The sequence below is a fragment of the Homo sapiens genome, chromosome 6 (assembly GCF_000001405.40).
Source record: "Homo sapiens chromosome 6, GRCh38.p14 Primary Assembly".
NCBI classification, from domain to species: Eukaryota; Metazoa; Chordata; class Mammalia; order Primates; family Hominidae; genus Homo; species Homo sapiens.
In genome coordinates this window covers 50,088,241-50,103,821 of record NC_000006.12, presented here as the reverse complement: position 1 = coordinate 50,103,821, position 15,581 = coordinate 50,088,241, and the positions used below count along the sequence as shown (strand labels likewise).

Sequence of the window (15,581 nt, the reverse complement as noted above, 5' to 3'; positions counted from 1 at the left end):
AAATTGATCACCTATCTCCTAATTGCCTTATAACTCCACAGAGACTTATGCATAATAACCTTCTGACAACTGGTAAGGACTCTCTTCACCTGCATGTGGGTCCTCCTTTAGGTCCTGAGAATTTTCATCACTCACCCTCTTTCTGTTGGGACTTCAGCACCACCTCAGGTGCTGAATGATCTCTCTTCAATGGTGCTACATCTACGCCTGAGACCTACACCTTAGTACAGTTTCCAAAATAGGCCCCAACAGACATGTACTCTGGACCAACATTGGGTGAAAGAACAGCTACTTGACATTTGAGGCCTCTTTATTCACCAACCAAAGGCAGCTCCATTCACAACTTTCATTTGTAGAATTTTTAGACATGACTCTTACACCAGGTGGTTGTGTTCATCAGGCGAAGAGGACACAAATCAAGCTCTTCTGGTAAGGTATTTGAAACTCCACTAAACTTTAGTTGAGGAGGAGGCATGTCCCATGCTTATTCCATGGAGAGAAAGACCTTCCAATACGTTGATAATCCTCTCCCTTTCTCAAAAAAATTCCTCTCTTCAACTTCAACACACTCACGTATGTGAGGTGCTAAGGACTAAAATCAGATTTTGAATACCTCTTTGAAAGTCCAGTCTCTCCCCAGCTTTGGATTGTGGCACTGGTTGGTACCTACCATCTTTGGATCCAATAAAAACTGTGACAGAAGGAGTGCCATTTATTAAATACCCTTTGAAAAAGGTAACTTATAATCTAAAGAGTATCTGTGGTCAAGAAGCAAAGATTAGCTAGAACTAAAGAGACTGGATGTGAGAAATTGAAAATTGGAAACTGATATCTTTCTTCCCATTTGCCTCCCTCTGCCTTGTCTTATTTTTCTTCTGTCTTCTTATGACTGCTTGCCATTCTCCTTTATGACTCATAAGTTATTCCCTCCTTGGTGCCTGCTTGTAAATGGCTTTGGTTTACCATCACCTACATTCAAACTCTGCCACTAAATGAATTTTGACCTCTTTCTAGACCTTACAGTTTGAATTGCTGTGAATGAGAATCTGATTGGTCAATCATTATTTAATGAGACAGCTCCTTGGTGCCTCCTGATTCAATCAGTTGTTTCTAGCTAATTCTGGGAAGATGAAAGTTACATGATAATTTAAAATGGTCCCTGATGAGTGCCGCTTTTGCAAGGGCTATGGGTTTGGACAACTGCCAAAAAAGGGGAACATATCTACACGTGTATTTTCAAACCTATCCAGAAATGTAATTTCCCAACTTTCTTACCTTCTAATTTTGTGCTTTTCCAATCAATGTAATTTCCTCAGGCTGTGTTACAAATCTATACATTCATTCATTCGTATTTATTCTGACTTGAAACCCCTTCTTACTTTAGTTCTTTGACTATGACCCATTCCTTATGATCCAGATCAAACACCATCTCTCTCAGAAAATCTTTTTCAAACCTTCACAATGGGTTCTTGCTCTGAGTTCCTAAAGTACCCTAAAGATGCCTTTATCTTCTCATATGAGTACTGCTTGTATACTGACTTTATATATTTAAGAAGTTGTTTTCCCAAAAGACTCTTCAAGGTTGGTTGAGACTGTATTGTTGTATCTTCAGACTCTAATAGATAAATAAAGAGAAGTAATAAAGGCAGTGTTATTTTACATAGGAAATTCAGGGAAGCATTTCTTAGGAGCTGATAATTGAGAAAACAACATTTTAGGGGATACTGGATATTTGGCAGAAGAGCATTCCACACAAAAGGAAAAGCCAATGCAAAGGTCCTGAGCAGTAACAGCTAGGAACCTTGTCTGATCAGATTGGGAATGTGCTCTATCTAGAAAAGCCAATTAAGCCCACATTCATCCTTTTACCAACTGCATCACAACATTAACTCAAAGGAAGTCCACCCTGTGTTGGAGGTGGGTGTGGTCCAGTGCTCATTTAGAAGATGAATTCTTATGGTCCTGTGCTGAGACATTAATAGAATAGGTTTAGGAAATCCAGTTTAACTCATATTTATTCTGGGCTTCCCAAAAGTTTGCATTTATCAATGAATGCCTCTTTTGTTATTGAGTGCAATTTTTTGTTATTGAGTGTGCTAATTGAATGCATGAGATAACTTAATTATTTAAAAGTCTTTGACTTTTCATTCAAGTCAACTTAAAAGTACAGAATTCAGTCTGTATAGCAGAATTACGAAGATTTACAAAAATCATGGATTTTAACATTTAATATTGTCCTTCTTAAACTAAAATTTTGGTTAAGTTTCTTATTTTGTGCCTTATCTCATAAACATTTTGAAGAAAAAATATGGACATTAGAAAAGGAATGATTTTATGATGATCAACCTACTACCAGTCAACTCTCTCTAGTGTTTCTCAAGAGTAAACATGTCTCTGAGGTTCAAATAATGTGTCTCAGGAGCTATCAAAAATCTAAACAAAATTTTATATTTTGGGAGGTTTTAGGTTTTAAAATGATAATCTAGAAAATCTTTACATTTTTGATCATTTTAATGGCCCCTTCATGATTTGCTAGTGCCATGCAATTTCAGTATCCGTATTTTCATTTGTGCTTACAGTCACAAAGAGAAAAAGAATACTTTATCAATGACCTTGGGCTAATGAGAAAAGCATAGAACAGAAAGCATTTAATATGCAAATAATTTCTTACAACAAATGAAGGAGAAATAATATTAAGACACATGATAAGAACTAGAAGTTTTGGTTGTTATTGTTGCTTTTATGTAAATGGAAAGAAAGTAGTGGGAGAATTACATTATCACATAGGATTCAGTGCATGATCTTGTGTGATAGCTGTGTTATATTCATATTGCTGGCAGCAATTGTTTTGCAGAAAAGTGACTTCTTCAGTCATATAAAATAAATTTTCTTGTTTCTATTTTTTCATTTGTAAATTCACTTGCATTTAACATATAAATTTATTTGGCTTTTAGAGTTGTATAATAGTATCCATCATAAAGAATTTGTACCAATTTTATGTTTACACATATTTAATTAAAATAAAATGATTCATGTTAAAATTGAACATCTTTGAGAATTAGTTATTTTTTAATGGGTAAAAATTTTATTCAAGTTTGATGAATACCGCAATATTGTAATATACTCATGATATAAAAAATTAAATGATCTGTGGGGAAAAAAACTTGATATTTTAGCCATCATGAACAGAAAGGGGTCTGTCTAGGTATCATGAAAATAAGTTCAAGATCTCTTGTGTTATATATCAAAGAACATGTAGTAGTTAATATCACAGCATCACCTGAAAGTAATTTCAAACAACACCAAAAATGTCAAGTGAATTAATTCATCATTTTGAAAGACCACATATTTTACAGCAATACTTTTACTTTTAAATTAAAGCATTGCAAAAAATGAATGATAAATGCCATGCTCCTTTCATAGTTCACATTTTTTATATAAGGTTTATTCAGTTTGTAAAATTAAACATAATTGGCCATTTCATATTGACTGAAAGGTACAAAATTATATTTTGCTTCTTAATAATAAAAATGATATTTTCAAAGACTTCTATCAATGTAAATATTCCCTAATTTTCAAGATTTAAATTTGAAGACAGATGACAATAAAGGAGGGAAAAAAGAAGGGAGATAGAAAAACAAGACAGAAGGGGTGAATTTGTAATGCTTGAAGTACTTCATAGCTTCCAATTTCCCTGAAGTTGAAGTGTTTATGTGGCAGCCTAGCTTTCTCTACTATCTCTAGAGAGAGAAGAGCAGAAAGACAGACAATGGTTGATGAGCCTAAACCACAGGTATTTTGCTGTTCTGAATAAAGGTGGTTTGGAAGTTCTCCCCTGAAGCACAGCAAAGCACAGCATGTTCATGGCGGCTTGAATTTTATCTGCTCTGACCCGGATATCTGTAAGTGAAAAGAAGCTAAAGCAATGTATGTGAATGCATCTATCCAGAGAGAGAATGTCAAGGTATTTTTAAAAATAATTCCCCAAGATTTATCTGAATTTCCATGGTCTGTTATCAGTTCTAGTAATTGCTGATTATAAGTTATCTAACATTAAGGCCATATGCCAGAGACAGCTGAAATCTCAGTAGTGAACATAACTATCTAGAAACTAGATTGTGAAGGAAAAGGTCAAACTATATGATGAAAATATGGAATAAAAACACATGGTAGGTAACATTTTTAGGAAAAAGAGAAGCTCACCAAGATATAGAAGTTTATAGGCACAATCTAAGAAAAATAAAGTAAAATGGTTCATGCAACTAAGACATACATGAATTTAAATCACTGGTCTTTTACATTAGCAGCAATATCTTCAAGAACAAGACAAAGTAAACACATTTATGACTAACACTTTTTCAAATTAGCTGTAGAATAAATTATTATTAAATAAGGAAATCATGCTTTTAAATATTAACAAAGTATTTTCAAAATCTTTTCGGTAAATTACATTATTAAAGACCTAATGAGCTCCAAAGTTGTAACCTAAATTCTGGTGTTTATGACTAGAATTTCTTCATAATCACGGAACCATCAACTGTTATTTAGAATTTAGTCTTTTTATTTGTATATAGGTTTTTGAGTACAGTACAGTTTTCTATAGGAGAATTTAATTTGTATATCAAGGTACATTTAGTAGACATTTCCAGCATGTGAGAATTTGTATTTCAGCATATCTGCAGGAGCCAATAAAGATAGAGTATAAATCTCCCAAATCATTCCCTTTAGTCATAGCATATTATAATGTCTTTGGAATTTCAAGGACTAGATTCAATAGAGCAAGTGATTCAGTAGGTAAATTTTTATTTATTTCTATTATTCTCCTTCTCTTCCATCATGGATTATGTTCTCTATATTCCAATTTGAATAATAATCACATTTTAATTTATCTTTCCCTGAACAGCCCGTTTACCCTAACCTCAGTCATGCTAACTGGCTCTCACCCTGCATTGATTAAGAGCTCCCAGAGATAACAGAGTGTGCAGGAGCATGAATAATCTCCTTGCTTCTCAAGTCAATTCTTGTGCATCTCCGCAGTCTGGCAATAACACCCACAATTTGAGTAGTGAGGGGCTAGCTGTGAACTCTCCAATAGCATATGTATGACCTTCTGTTGAAAAAATAAACATAGAAAAAATTAATATTAATATAATGAACTGTTTCCCTAGAAGAAGAAAATACTTGAACATTTTCTACTTCTGCTCCAGCTCTTCACTGGTGACAGAGAACTATGCTTAACAATCAAATTGGGCAATTACCAGCAGATTTACGGCCTAAATCTAATGAAAGTAAAGCTGTTATCAGTGTTAGAAAACTACAGGAAATTGCAAAGAATTGAGGTGTTTTTGATATGCTACCAACTGGGGCTGGCCGGTAATAAAACCTTCATCTCTATACTTCACTGTCACAGTCTTAGCTCAGTTACTCATCATTCCTGTCACTGAAGCAGTCCCCACACTGGTCTCTCTGTCACCAAACTTTTTACTTTCCATCCCTGCTCCATTTTGCTTTTAAAATTATCCCAATTCACAAATCTGATCACATCTTAGTGAGACTCGGAGATGAATTTCCGTTAGAAGTAAGTGTAAGCTTCTTAGTCTGGTAAGAAAGCGACTCCTTTATTTTGTCCCAGCCTGATTTTCCAGGATTATTTCTCAACATAGTCATCCCCCGACAAGCCTCCCTCATAGCATTCACCCTATGCTCTAGATGCTTGCGATAATTTGGCACTCTCACTCATATTTCAGGCTCATGCTGTTCTTCTTAACTGAAGTGTTCTCTTTCCTATCCTGGTCAGTGTAATCACTTAACAAGACTGAGCACAAAGACATTATAATGTGTGTATCAAGTATTGTATTAGAATTATTTGTGTTTTTTTCTAACAGATTCTGAGATCCAGAAAGGTACAGACTTTATGATTTTATTCTCTTACTTTTATTCTTCTACCTCCCTAAATTAAATTTATAAACAAGATTAGTGTCCAAATATTTTTACCTATTTAGCAAGTCAAAACTCTGCAGATGATAAGAAAATTTTTGTTTTGTATTGAGAACATGAGAATAACATAATTAAAATAAATAAAGTTGCTACTCATGTACAAAGGTACACAACACTACTAATTTCTTATTCATAAGTTTTTTTCTCCAGAAATGCATACAATAAAACTGGAACCTATTTTTATGCTAACAATTATGATATTAATTATTTTTAAGAAAGTCAGGCACAATGAAAGGAGGAGAAGTTTGAAAATCAGAAAGCTTTCAGCTCAAATTTTATTTTGCCACACACTAGATATCAGACCTAGAGAAAGTCATGTAACTCCTTGTATATGAAATACGCAAAATGAGGATTAAAATATTTACTTCTCAAGGATGTTTGAAGGATCAACTCAATAAAATTGGGTTAAAGGGTAAGAAATCACCAATATTCTACCGTGTTTATCTACAGATACAGGATAGTTTTCCTTATGGAAGTCACTATTGCCTTGAAACTAACCAATTAACTAGTAAACAAGTCATACGTATAAGAACTATTCTCTATAGCATAGATGCTTAACAATGGTCAGCCTTAGACAGATGATAGATTACAGTGATCGAATGATGTGATGATGATGACTAGAACATGGATTGCTCCTTCAATCTTGAGCATCATTGCTCATCCAATCTGGCAACCAAGGCCTGTGCTTCAACTTTGCTCTGCTTGTGCTTGAGAAATATAGCAAAACTGGCTGGCTGAGTCACAACTTGGGCCCACGGAACTAACTAGTCAATTGGGTTGTTAACCTGCCTCAGGTATGAGAACCAACGGCTGCAAAGCCAGGTGAAAGTCTACATTAAATTCAATCAATTTTGAGACTCTACTATAAGTTGATATTGTTAGCACAGCAAAAAAAAAAAAAAAAAAAAAAAAAAAAAAAGACAAGTCATCTTCAGCCCCTGCCTTTAAAAAGCTTACAGATAGCTGTTACACAAGACAGGCAGTAATGTGCTTAAAATGAAATATAAGAGTGACTCTCAGAGGGTAGGGAGAAAGAGAGAAAGACTTGTTTGACTATTGGGATCAATACACATTTGCAGCCTTTAGGAAGCTTGTGGTTTCTGTATCTATGCCTTGTTATTGGTTGAATTTCTTACATAATTCAAACCATTCATTTAAATGAAATTCTGCACAATTTATGAACATAGTATAACAAAGAAATGTTGCTGATTTTTTTTCTCTCAGTGTCTCTGTCCCTTGAATACTCTCTGCTCTTTTTTTCTCTCTCTCAAAATAACATGTAAATGAACTGCCAGACTTCATTCCAAGTCAGCAAAGTGAGCAGATTTTATGTAATCCCTTGGCTCCTGGAAACTGCTCTATATCCAATAAGTAAAGGAGGCAAATATTTCACCAGTGTGTTATGACTGGTGGTTTGCAGGGTCATTTGGGTGTTTACAAAGTTAGAAAAGTGTATGAGGTGCTAAAGAGCAATTCAACATAAACAACATTATTCCTTAATGACATGATTTTTAAATGTTCCATAAACAATATTATTCTTTGATGACATGGTTTAAAAGTTATTAAAAGATGTTTGAGGTCAATTGTTACATTACTTATGGAAAGTGCCTATAAATATTGAACGAAGAATTTGATTTTTATAAGATTATAAAATGAAGCTATATTTCTATAAACTATCTAGAAAAAAAAACCTCAGGAAAATGAACTTTTCCTTCATTTTTTAACATTCACATCTTAAATGTTTTTTACTTAAGTTTTTAATTTGCAGTATAAAATGCACTGAAGAGAATATTAGCCATTTTCATAATGTGTCTTAAAAATAATTCTCTTTTGAAACTAGGAAAGGAAATCTTTAACCAAATATTCCGTTAGAAATATAGATATACTGAAGAAAAACAATTTGTAGGAAACTTGCCTTTATGCTTCCCTTCACTGTTTAAGTTCAAATTCCAGTCACTCAAATTGCAAAGTTTAATATGAAAATGATGGTAGAAATAGGCTCCAATGAATTTTACTACATTTTCCAGGCACAACCTCATAAGTTTTGTGGTGAGATGTAGTTTTGTTTTGATGATGACACACTTTGTTTTTTATTTAGAAACATGTCTCTTTAACCTACAGTGATATAGTGATACTTTCAAAATGAGCATTTTCAGAACTCATTTCAATTCAATAAATATTGCTCTTCAGATTGTCCCTTAAACGAAAATTGTCTCTTAATGCATAGTTTGAAACAAAACAAAATTTACAAGGAGTTGTTATTTTAAAATCTGTATACAATACACAATTCCTCAAATTTCAATTCTAATTATTTTTTTCTGAAAACCCACAACTTCCTCAAGACCTTGTGAAGATATAATGTATTGCCATTGTGCAATAAATAAGATAATCCAACAGTGAAATAAATTTCAATACAAAGTATGAGGAGTTGATGAAAGCAGAAGACATGAGGAATTTAAAAACAGAAAACTGCTAGACTCCAAGCATAAATATCCAACCATAGAGGCACATGTTTCAAAGCTTTTTAACTTTCCTTATTTAAAGAATTTCTTTACTGGGACACTTTATATTCAGCATTTCTCCCCTTAAAATAGAAAATGAGGAAAGAAGTAAAATATTAAATAGTAAAAGTATTTTAATTGTATAAGGGCTTTGGGTATTGAAAAAAACGAATTTCCTTAAAAATAATTTAAAAAATCTTCAGGATGATTTCTATTTCTACTTGCATTATATTATGTCTATGGGAGAAAAATTACTTCTTTGAACTTGTTTAAAGGAGTAATTGTTTAAACTTTTTAAGTATGTGCAGTTAGAATTTTTTTAGAATTGTTATTAGTATACTGAGCATATCTAATTTCAACAGGGCAAAATGACAAATATTAGTACAGTTTAAAAAGAAAACAAAGAGAAATGGTTCTCACTCATTCTTTATGTGTGTTGTGGATTTTTATATCAGTGTAGTTTGAGCGATATACATGGAACTTTAAAATGTATATTGTTTAGTTTTAAGCAACTAAAAACATTCAGACCTACCATTAGTTTAATGATTATCCTCAGTTTGTAGAAGATTCATTACCCACAGTAAGAAAATATGCTCACGTTTCTGCCTTGGGTTAATATTCCTTACTGGAACTTCAATGTATAGTGAAATAATTGCCTACCCTTCATATTTCAAGATTAAAATCAAATCTGAGGTATCTTTACAATTTGAAAGAAAAATTTCTTATTTCAAACTACAAATGAAGACATGCCGAACTAATAGCAAATTGTTTGCTTTTAACAATGTGTGTGTTGTGTGTGTCTGATATATATATTAATATGTGTGTATCTGATATATAATATATATTAATATATATATGACAAGTATATATATATATATATACACACACACACACAACACACACACACACGGCATGCAGTACACAGGAAACATTGGTGAAGCTTCCAAACTGTAAAATATTGTGAAGAGTTGACTCCTATTGGCTAGAAGCTATAGAATATCATGGCCAAACTGGAAGCTTGACACTAACAGTTTATTTTTTAAAAATTTCAAAATTAGCTAAAATAACAGACACACAAGCATATATTATACCCTGAACAGGGATAATAACCAAATATATGTGTGCAAGATCTAAAGACGGAGAGGAAATTTAGGGTCTATGTTTTTATTTGCTTAAAAGCAAACAATGTACAATTCAAAGTTCCAAAGCATATTTGCACAGACATTGTAATTATTAGCTCACTTTATCTCTGCTGGCTCAAAGTACTTCTCAGCTTTTTAATCACTTCTCTACTGGCACAGCTAATGTGCCTACAAGTTGTCTAGAATTTTAATATTGCTAAATTTAGTGATGCAAGTTGTGATTAAATTGTTGAAACTTGTTTAATGCAAACCCTGATTGAAAAGAATACATGCTTATTTAAGGAAAATGTACAACTTTGCAAAAATTATATAGAGCTATATATAGTCCCACATTTAACAGCTTTACCAACCTGCAAAAAAGTTGGTTCTTGTAGAAAACTGCCAGGCTATGTAGTCTGAAATCTGGAGTCGTAATACCAGAGAGCTGTCAGTCAGCCATCCATCCATCTAATTGGCTTCTTACCATCTTTCCATCATGTTTTTTTTATAACTGGTCGCCTCTGGCTAAAATGCAAATCATGAGGAAGAGCCGTCTAGAAAAAGCTGCTGCTTTCTTAATTATCTGTCAGAATATGGACCAGTGGACCCAGGGCCGCACTGTAGAGTTATGCTAAGCAGCAAGGCATCATGGGAATTGGAGTGACAGCTCATTTTCCTCCTGTGTTTTCTGTGTTCGAATGACAATGCAGAAATATGGGTTTTCCCACACTTTCTCTGAACACCTGGGCTATTGCTCAGGGGAGCACAAAGCCAAAACTGTCACATTTCCAGACATGGCCTTATTGCTGTCACTATGACAGGATTGTTGACAAATGCCAGCAGTCATCTCGGCATCTTGGGAAATGTCTGCCATGATTGTGTCAACAGCCTGACAGAAATTGTTAATGTTTAAACTTCTTCCACTGACAGAATCCTGTCTTGCTGACAATATTTGTCATATGAAACTCAATCTTTGTCAAACTTGCTTAAAAATTAACACTTTCTCAATTTATTTTTTTTTCTTCTGTTTTACTGCCTAGCAGTGCAAAATTTTAGCAATAAGATTTCAACAAGTTAACGTAACACAGTAATTTAGATCCACATTCCATCCAAATTCTCCAACCCATTATAACTTGTGGCCACTTTGTCCTTTTGACCTTTGTAGCCAGAATAATTAGGCATAAATACAGCATATATATAAATATATACACACACACACACACACACATATATACACACACACACATATATATGTATGCCTTAGGATTCAAACTTGTGAATTATTCAAGAGGTACAAAATACTATTTCTCAGTGTACGAGGTGGAAAATCAATTAAACTTTGTGGATGTTTTTACTTATAAGTAAATCAGTTGCAAATTTGAAGATATGCATTAACTAACTTTGACCTTTAAGCTGTTAAATTTTTATTCCATTATTTTGAATTTTGATTAAAAAATCAATCTGACAAGTTAAACAGTATCTTTTGCAGGAACTCAGCAAGTAGAGTTTTTTCTTTTTCTTTTTTTTATTTCACAAGTGATTTTGTCAAAAGTGGACTATTACAGGGATAGCCTTAACTTGCTAATTCTGATATATGTGTTAGAAACTATTTATGTGAGCAGTTTAAAGTATATTCATTTTTTAAAGGAACGTCCTTTATAAATTCTACAGGTGGCTCATTTTTTGAAATATTTTTTAATGAGACACAATGCTCAGATTACTAGAAGGTAGTTAAATTGTATCTGGCTGTACTAGAAATGCCCAGTCCTCCACAGGATGCTATATGTCTTAGACATGGTACAAAAAGAAAGAGCAATTGGTTAGCTGAATAATATTGTCCATCTGTCCCTGACAGAACAATTCTTGTCAAACTAAGAGTGACAACTTGTTAATAATGATATAACTATTATTAACAGTATTATTATTAGATAGTATGTCATAACACACAGTGGTATACATACATACGTGGTATACCCTTATACCAGTAGGGACATATTAAAATAATTTATTGTTACAATAGATATCTCCTAGAAAAATGGAATGTATCTGGTAGCACTACTTACTTGAATTGCTGCCAAACAGGATTTCCAGTTATATTATAGAAAATGAACAAAAACAGATACTGTCTAATTTACTGAAATAGGTAGACTTTTTATTATGCCTTTTAGTTTAATTTTTATTTGTCTTTAAAGACTTATATTATTTTTTCATATATTTTTTAAAAATTCAAACATTACCACAAGTAACTCCAGAAGTAGACTGTGATATGTTAGACCAGGAACTGACGAATTTGTTATGCAATAAATCAAATACAGGCACATCTTGGAAATATTGTGGGTTGAGTTCTAAACCACTGCAATAAAGCAAATATTGGAATGAAGCAATATTGTAATAAGGTGAGTCACACAATTTTTTTTTGTTTCCCAGTGCATGTACAAGTTATATTTACACTATATGGTATTCAATCTATTAAGTGTGCAATAGCATTATGCCTAAAAAACAGTGTGTATACCTTAATTTAAAAATATTCTATTGCTAAAAAATGCTATCAATCATAGAAGGCTTCAGTGAGTTATCATCTTTTTACTGGTAGAGGGTCTCATCTTGATGTTAATGGCTACTGACTGATTAGGGTGGTAGCTGATAAAGGTTGTGGTGGCTGTGGCAATTTATTTAAAAAAAGACAACAATAAAGTTTGCCATGTGGAGTAACTCTTCATAAAACATTTCTCTGTAGCATGTGATGCTGTTTGATAGCATTTCATCCACAATGGAATTTCTTTCAAAACTGGAGTCCATACTCTTGAAATCTGCTACTGCTTTATCAACTGAGTTTGTGAAATATTTTAAATCATTTGTTCTTATTTCAGGAGTGTTCACAGCCTCTTCACCAAAAGTAAATTTCATCTCGAGAAACCACTTGCATTGCCCATCCATAAGAAGCAACTCCTCAATTGTTCATTTTATCCTGACAATCCGGCAATTCAGTCAAATCGTCACTTCTAAGAAGAGGAGAATTACAATGCTTTGCTTTTAATTCTAGTTCTCTTGCTATTTCCGCTGCATCTGCAATTACTTCCTCCAGTGAAGTCTTGAATCCTTCAAAGTCATCCATGAGGGTTGAAAGCAACTTCCTCCAAACTCCTCTTAATGTTGATATTTTGATCTTTTCCCATGAATTATGAATGTTCTTAATGGCATGTAGACCTTGTGAATCCTTCCCAGAAGGTTTTCATTTTCCTTTTCCCAATCCACTAGAGAAATCACTATTTATGGCAGTATGGCAACTATAGCCTTATGAAGTGTATTTATTAAATAATAAAGTTTGAAAGTCAAAATTACTCTTTGATCTGTGGGCTAGAGAATAGATGCTGTGTCAGTAGTCATGAAAACAATATTAATCTCCTTGTATCTCTCCATCAGAGCTCTTGGTTGACCAGGTACATGTCAGTGAGCAGCAATATTTTGAAAGGAATCTTTTTTTCTGAATAGTCAGTCTCAACAGTGGGCTTAAAATATTCAGTAAACCATGCTACAAACAGATGTGCTGTCATCTAGGCCTTGTTGTTTTATTTATAGGGAACAGGCAGAGCAGATTTATTATACCTCTTAAGGACTCTAGGATTTTCAGAATTGTAAATGAGCATCGGCTTCAGCTTAAAGTCAGCAGCTGCATTAGCTCCTAACAGGAGAGTTAACATGTCCATTGAAGCATTGAAACCAGGCATTGACTTCTTTTCTCCAGCTATGAAAATCCTAGATGGTATCTTCTGATATAAGGCTGCTTCTTACACATTGAAAACCTATTCTTTGTGCAGCTACCTTCATCAATGATCTTAGCTAGATGTTCTGGATAACTTTCTGCAGCTTCTGCCTCAGCACTTGCTGCTTCACCTTGTACTTTTAATGAAGATGGCTCCTTTCCTTAAACCTCATGAACCAACCTCTGCTAGCTTCAGGATTTTCTTCTGCAACTCCATCTCCTCTCTTAGCCTTCATAGAATTGAAGACAGTTGGGGCCTTGCTAGGGAATAGACTTTGGCTTAAGGTAATGTTGTGGCTGGTTTGATCTTTGATCCAGACCTCTCAAATTTTCTCCACATCAGCAATAAGATTGTTTCGCTTTTTTATCATTTGTGTGTTCATTGAAAGTGTGTTCACTTTCAATTTCCTTAAAGAATGTTTCCTTCGTGTTTACAGCTTGGCTAATTGTTTGGCAAAGGAGACCTAGCTTTTGGCCTAGCTTGGCTTTCAACATGTCTTTCTCATAATAAAGCTTAATCATTTCTAGCTTTTGATTTAAAGTAAGATACATCTGATTCTTTCTTTTACTCGAATACTTACAGGCCATTGTAGGGCTACTATTTGGCCTAATTTCAATGTTGTTATGTATCAAGGAATAGGGAACCTTGAGGGCAGGGAGAGAGATTGGGGAGTAGCTGGTCAGTGGAGCAGTCAGAACACACACAGGATTTATCAATTAACTTTGCTTTCTTATATGTGTGTGATTTGCGGTGCTCCAAAACAATTACAATAGTAACTTCAAAGATCACTGATCACAGATCACCATAATAGATATAATAATAATGAAAAAGTTTGAAATATAGTGAGAATTACCAAAATGTGATACAGAGGCACAAAGCGAGCACATGCTGTTTAAAAAATTGCAGTAATAGACTTACTTGATGCAGGATTGTCACATATCTTCAATTTGTAAGTGACACAATATCTGTGAAGTGTCATAAAGCAAAGTGCAATAAAACAAGATATGACTACAGTAAATATTTTAGATTTTTGTCTCCAGTACAACTATTCAGCTCCACCATTGCAAAAGACATATAAGTAATGCCCTTTTAAAGATGGGCATGATTATAATAAAACTTTATTTCTAAAGGCAGGTAGAAGGTTGGCTTTGATCTGCAGGCTATGGTTTGCTGGCCCTTGTTTTAGACCAATCCCCGATTTCAAATTTTAGCTCTGCTGCCCATTAGCTGTGTGATGCTAAGCATACTTCATTTTATTATCTCAATTATTTCTCAAAATAACCCTTGTGTAATGCATTAATCTCCTCATATTACAAGTGAAACTTGATGGCTTATAGAGGTTAAGCCCTCAGACTTCCTAGGATATAAGAAGTAAACCTGGGATTCTAATATGAGTTTGTATAATTTCATAGCTTTCAGCTTTTTTGATTATGATATGTTGCTTATAACTCTCATTTACTTCTGAAATAGAATTCTAAGCCAAGTTTGGAGCCCAGAGGAAATAAAGAGAAAGAAAATGGGGAGGTGTGCAATGACCATTACAGATGATTTAGGGAAAACTGCTGTTCACCAACAGAATTGCTTCCTCTTTTGACAACACAGGGTTCTCTGCCTTCACCTGCACTAACACTAATCACCTACAATTGGCCTAGGCAATTGAGGGTAGTGCAATCATGGAAGGGGAAATGTGCCTCTTAAAGAGCTTTTAAATATGTAGAATCGTTCTCACTAACATTCAGGAAAAGCATTTGTAATGGTTAATTTTATGTTCAACATGACTGCACCATCGGATGCCCAGATATTTTGATTAAACATTATTTCTCAGTGTGCCTGTGAAAGTATTCCTGGATGAGATTAATTTTTTTGAATTGGGAAATGGAGCATAGTAGATTGGCCTTTCTCATGGGGGTTGACACAATCCAATATTTTGAGGATGTGAATAAAACAAAAAAACAGAAAGGAGAATGACTCTTTTTGAGCTGTGACATAGATCTGCTATACTCCCTCTGGAGCTTACACTTTAGGTTTTTCTGGATCTTAAACCTTTAAACACAGACTGTAACTAGAATACCAGCTCTCCTGAGTCTCCAGCTCACAGACGACAGATCATGAGACTTCTTAGCCTTTAGTAGCACATAAACCAGTTCTTGAAAATCTCTTCATATTGTGTGTGTGCATATATTCTGTTTCTTGGAAGA

The 15,581-nt window shown here is 33.9% G+C and overlaps 1 long non-coding RNA gene across 1 annotated transcript; it reads right to left on the bottom strand.

Moving 5' to 3' along the window:
* Positions 1-4,538: 4,538 nt before the first annotated feature.
* LOC100505985 (uncharacterized) lies at positions 4,539-10,214 on the bottom strand. Its single transcript, NR_187616.1, has 2 exons — positions 9,991-10,214; positions 4,539-5,110 (listed from the first exon to the last, which is right to left on the bottom strand). It is a non-coding gene; the product is annotated as an uncharacterized LOC100505985 (long non-coding RNA).
* Positions 10,215-15,581: the final 5,367 nt, after the last annotated feature.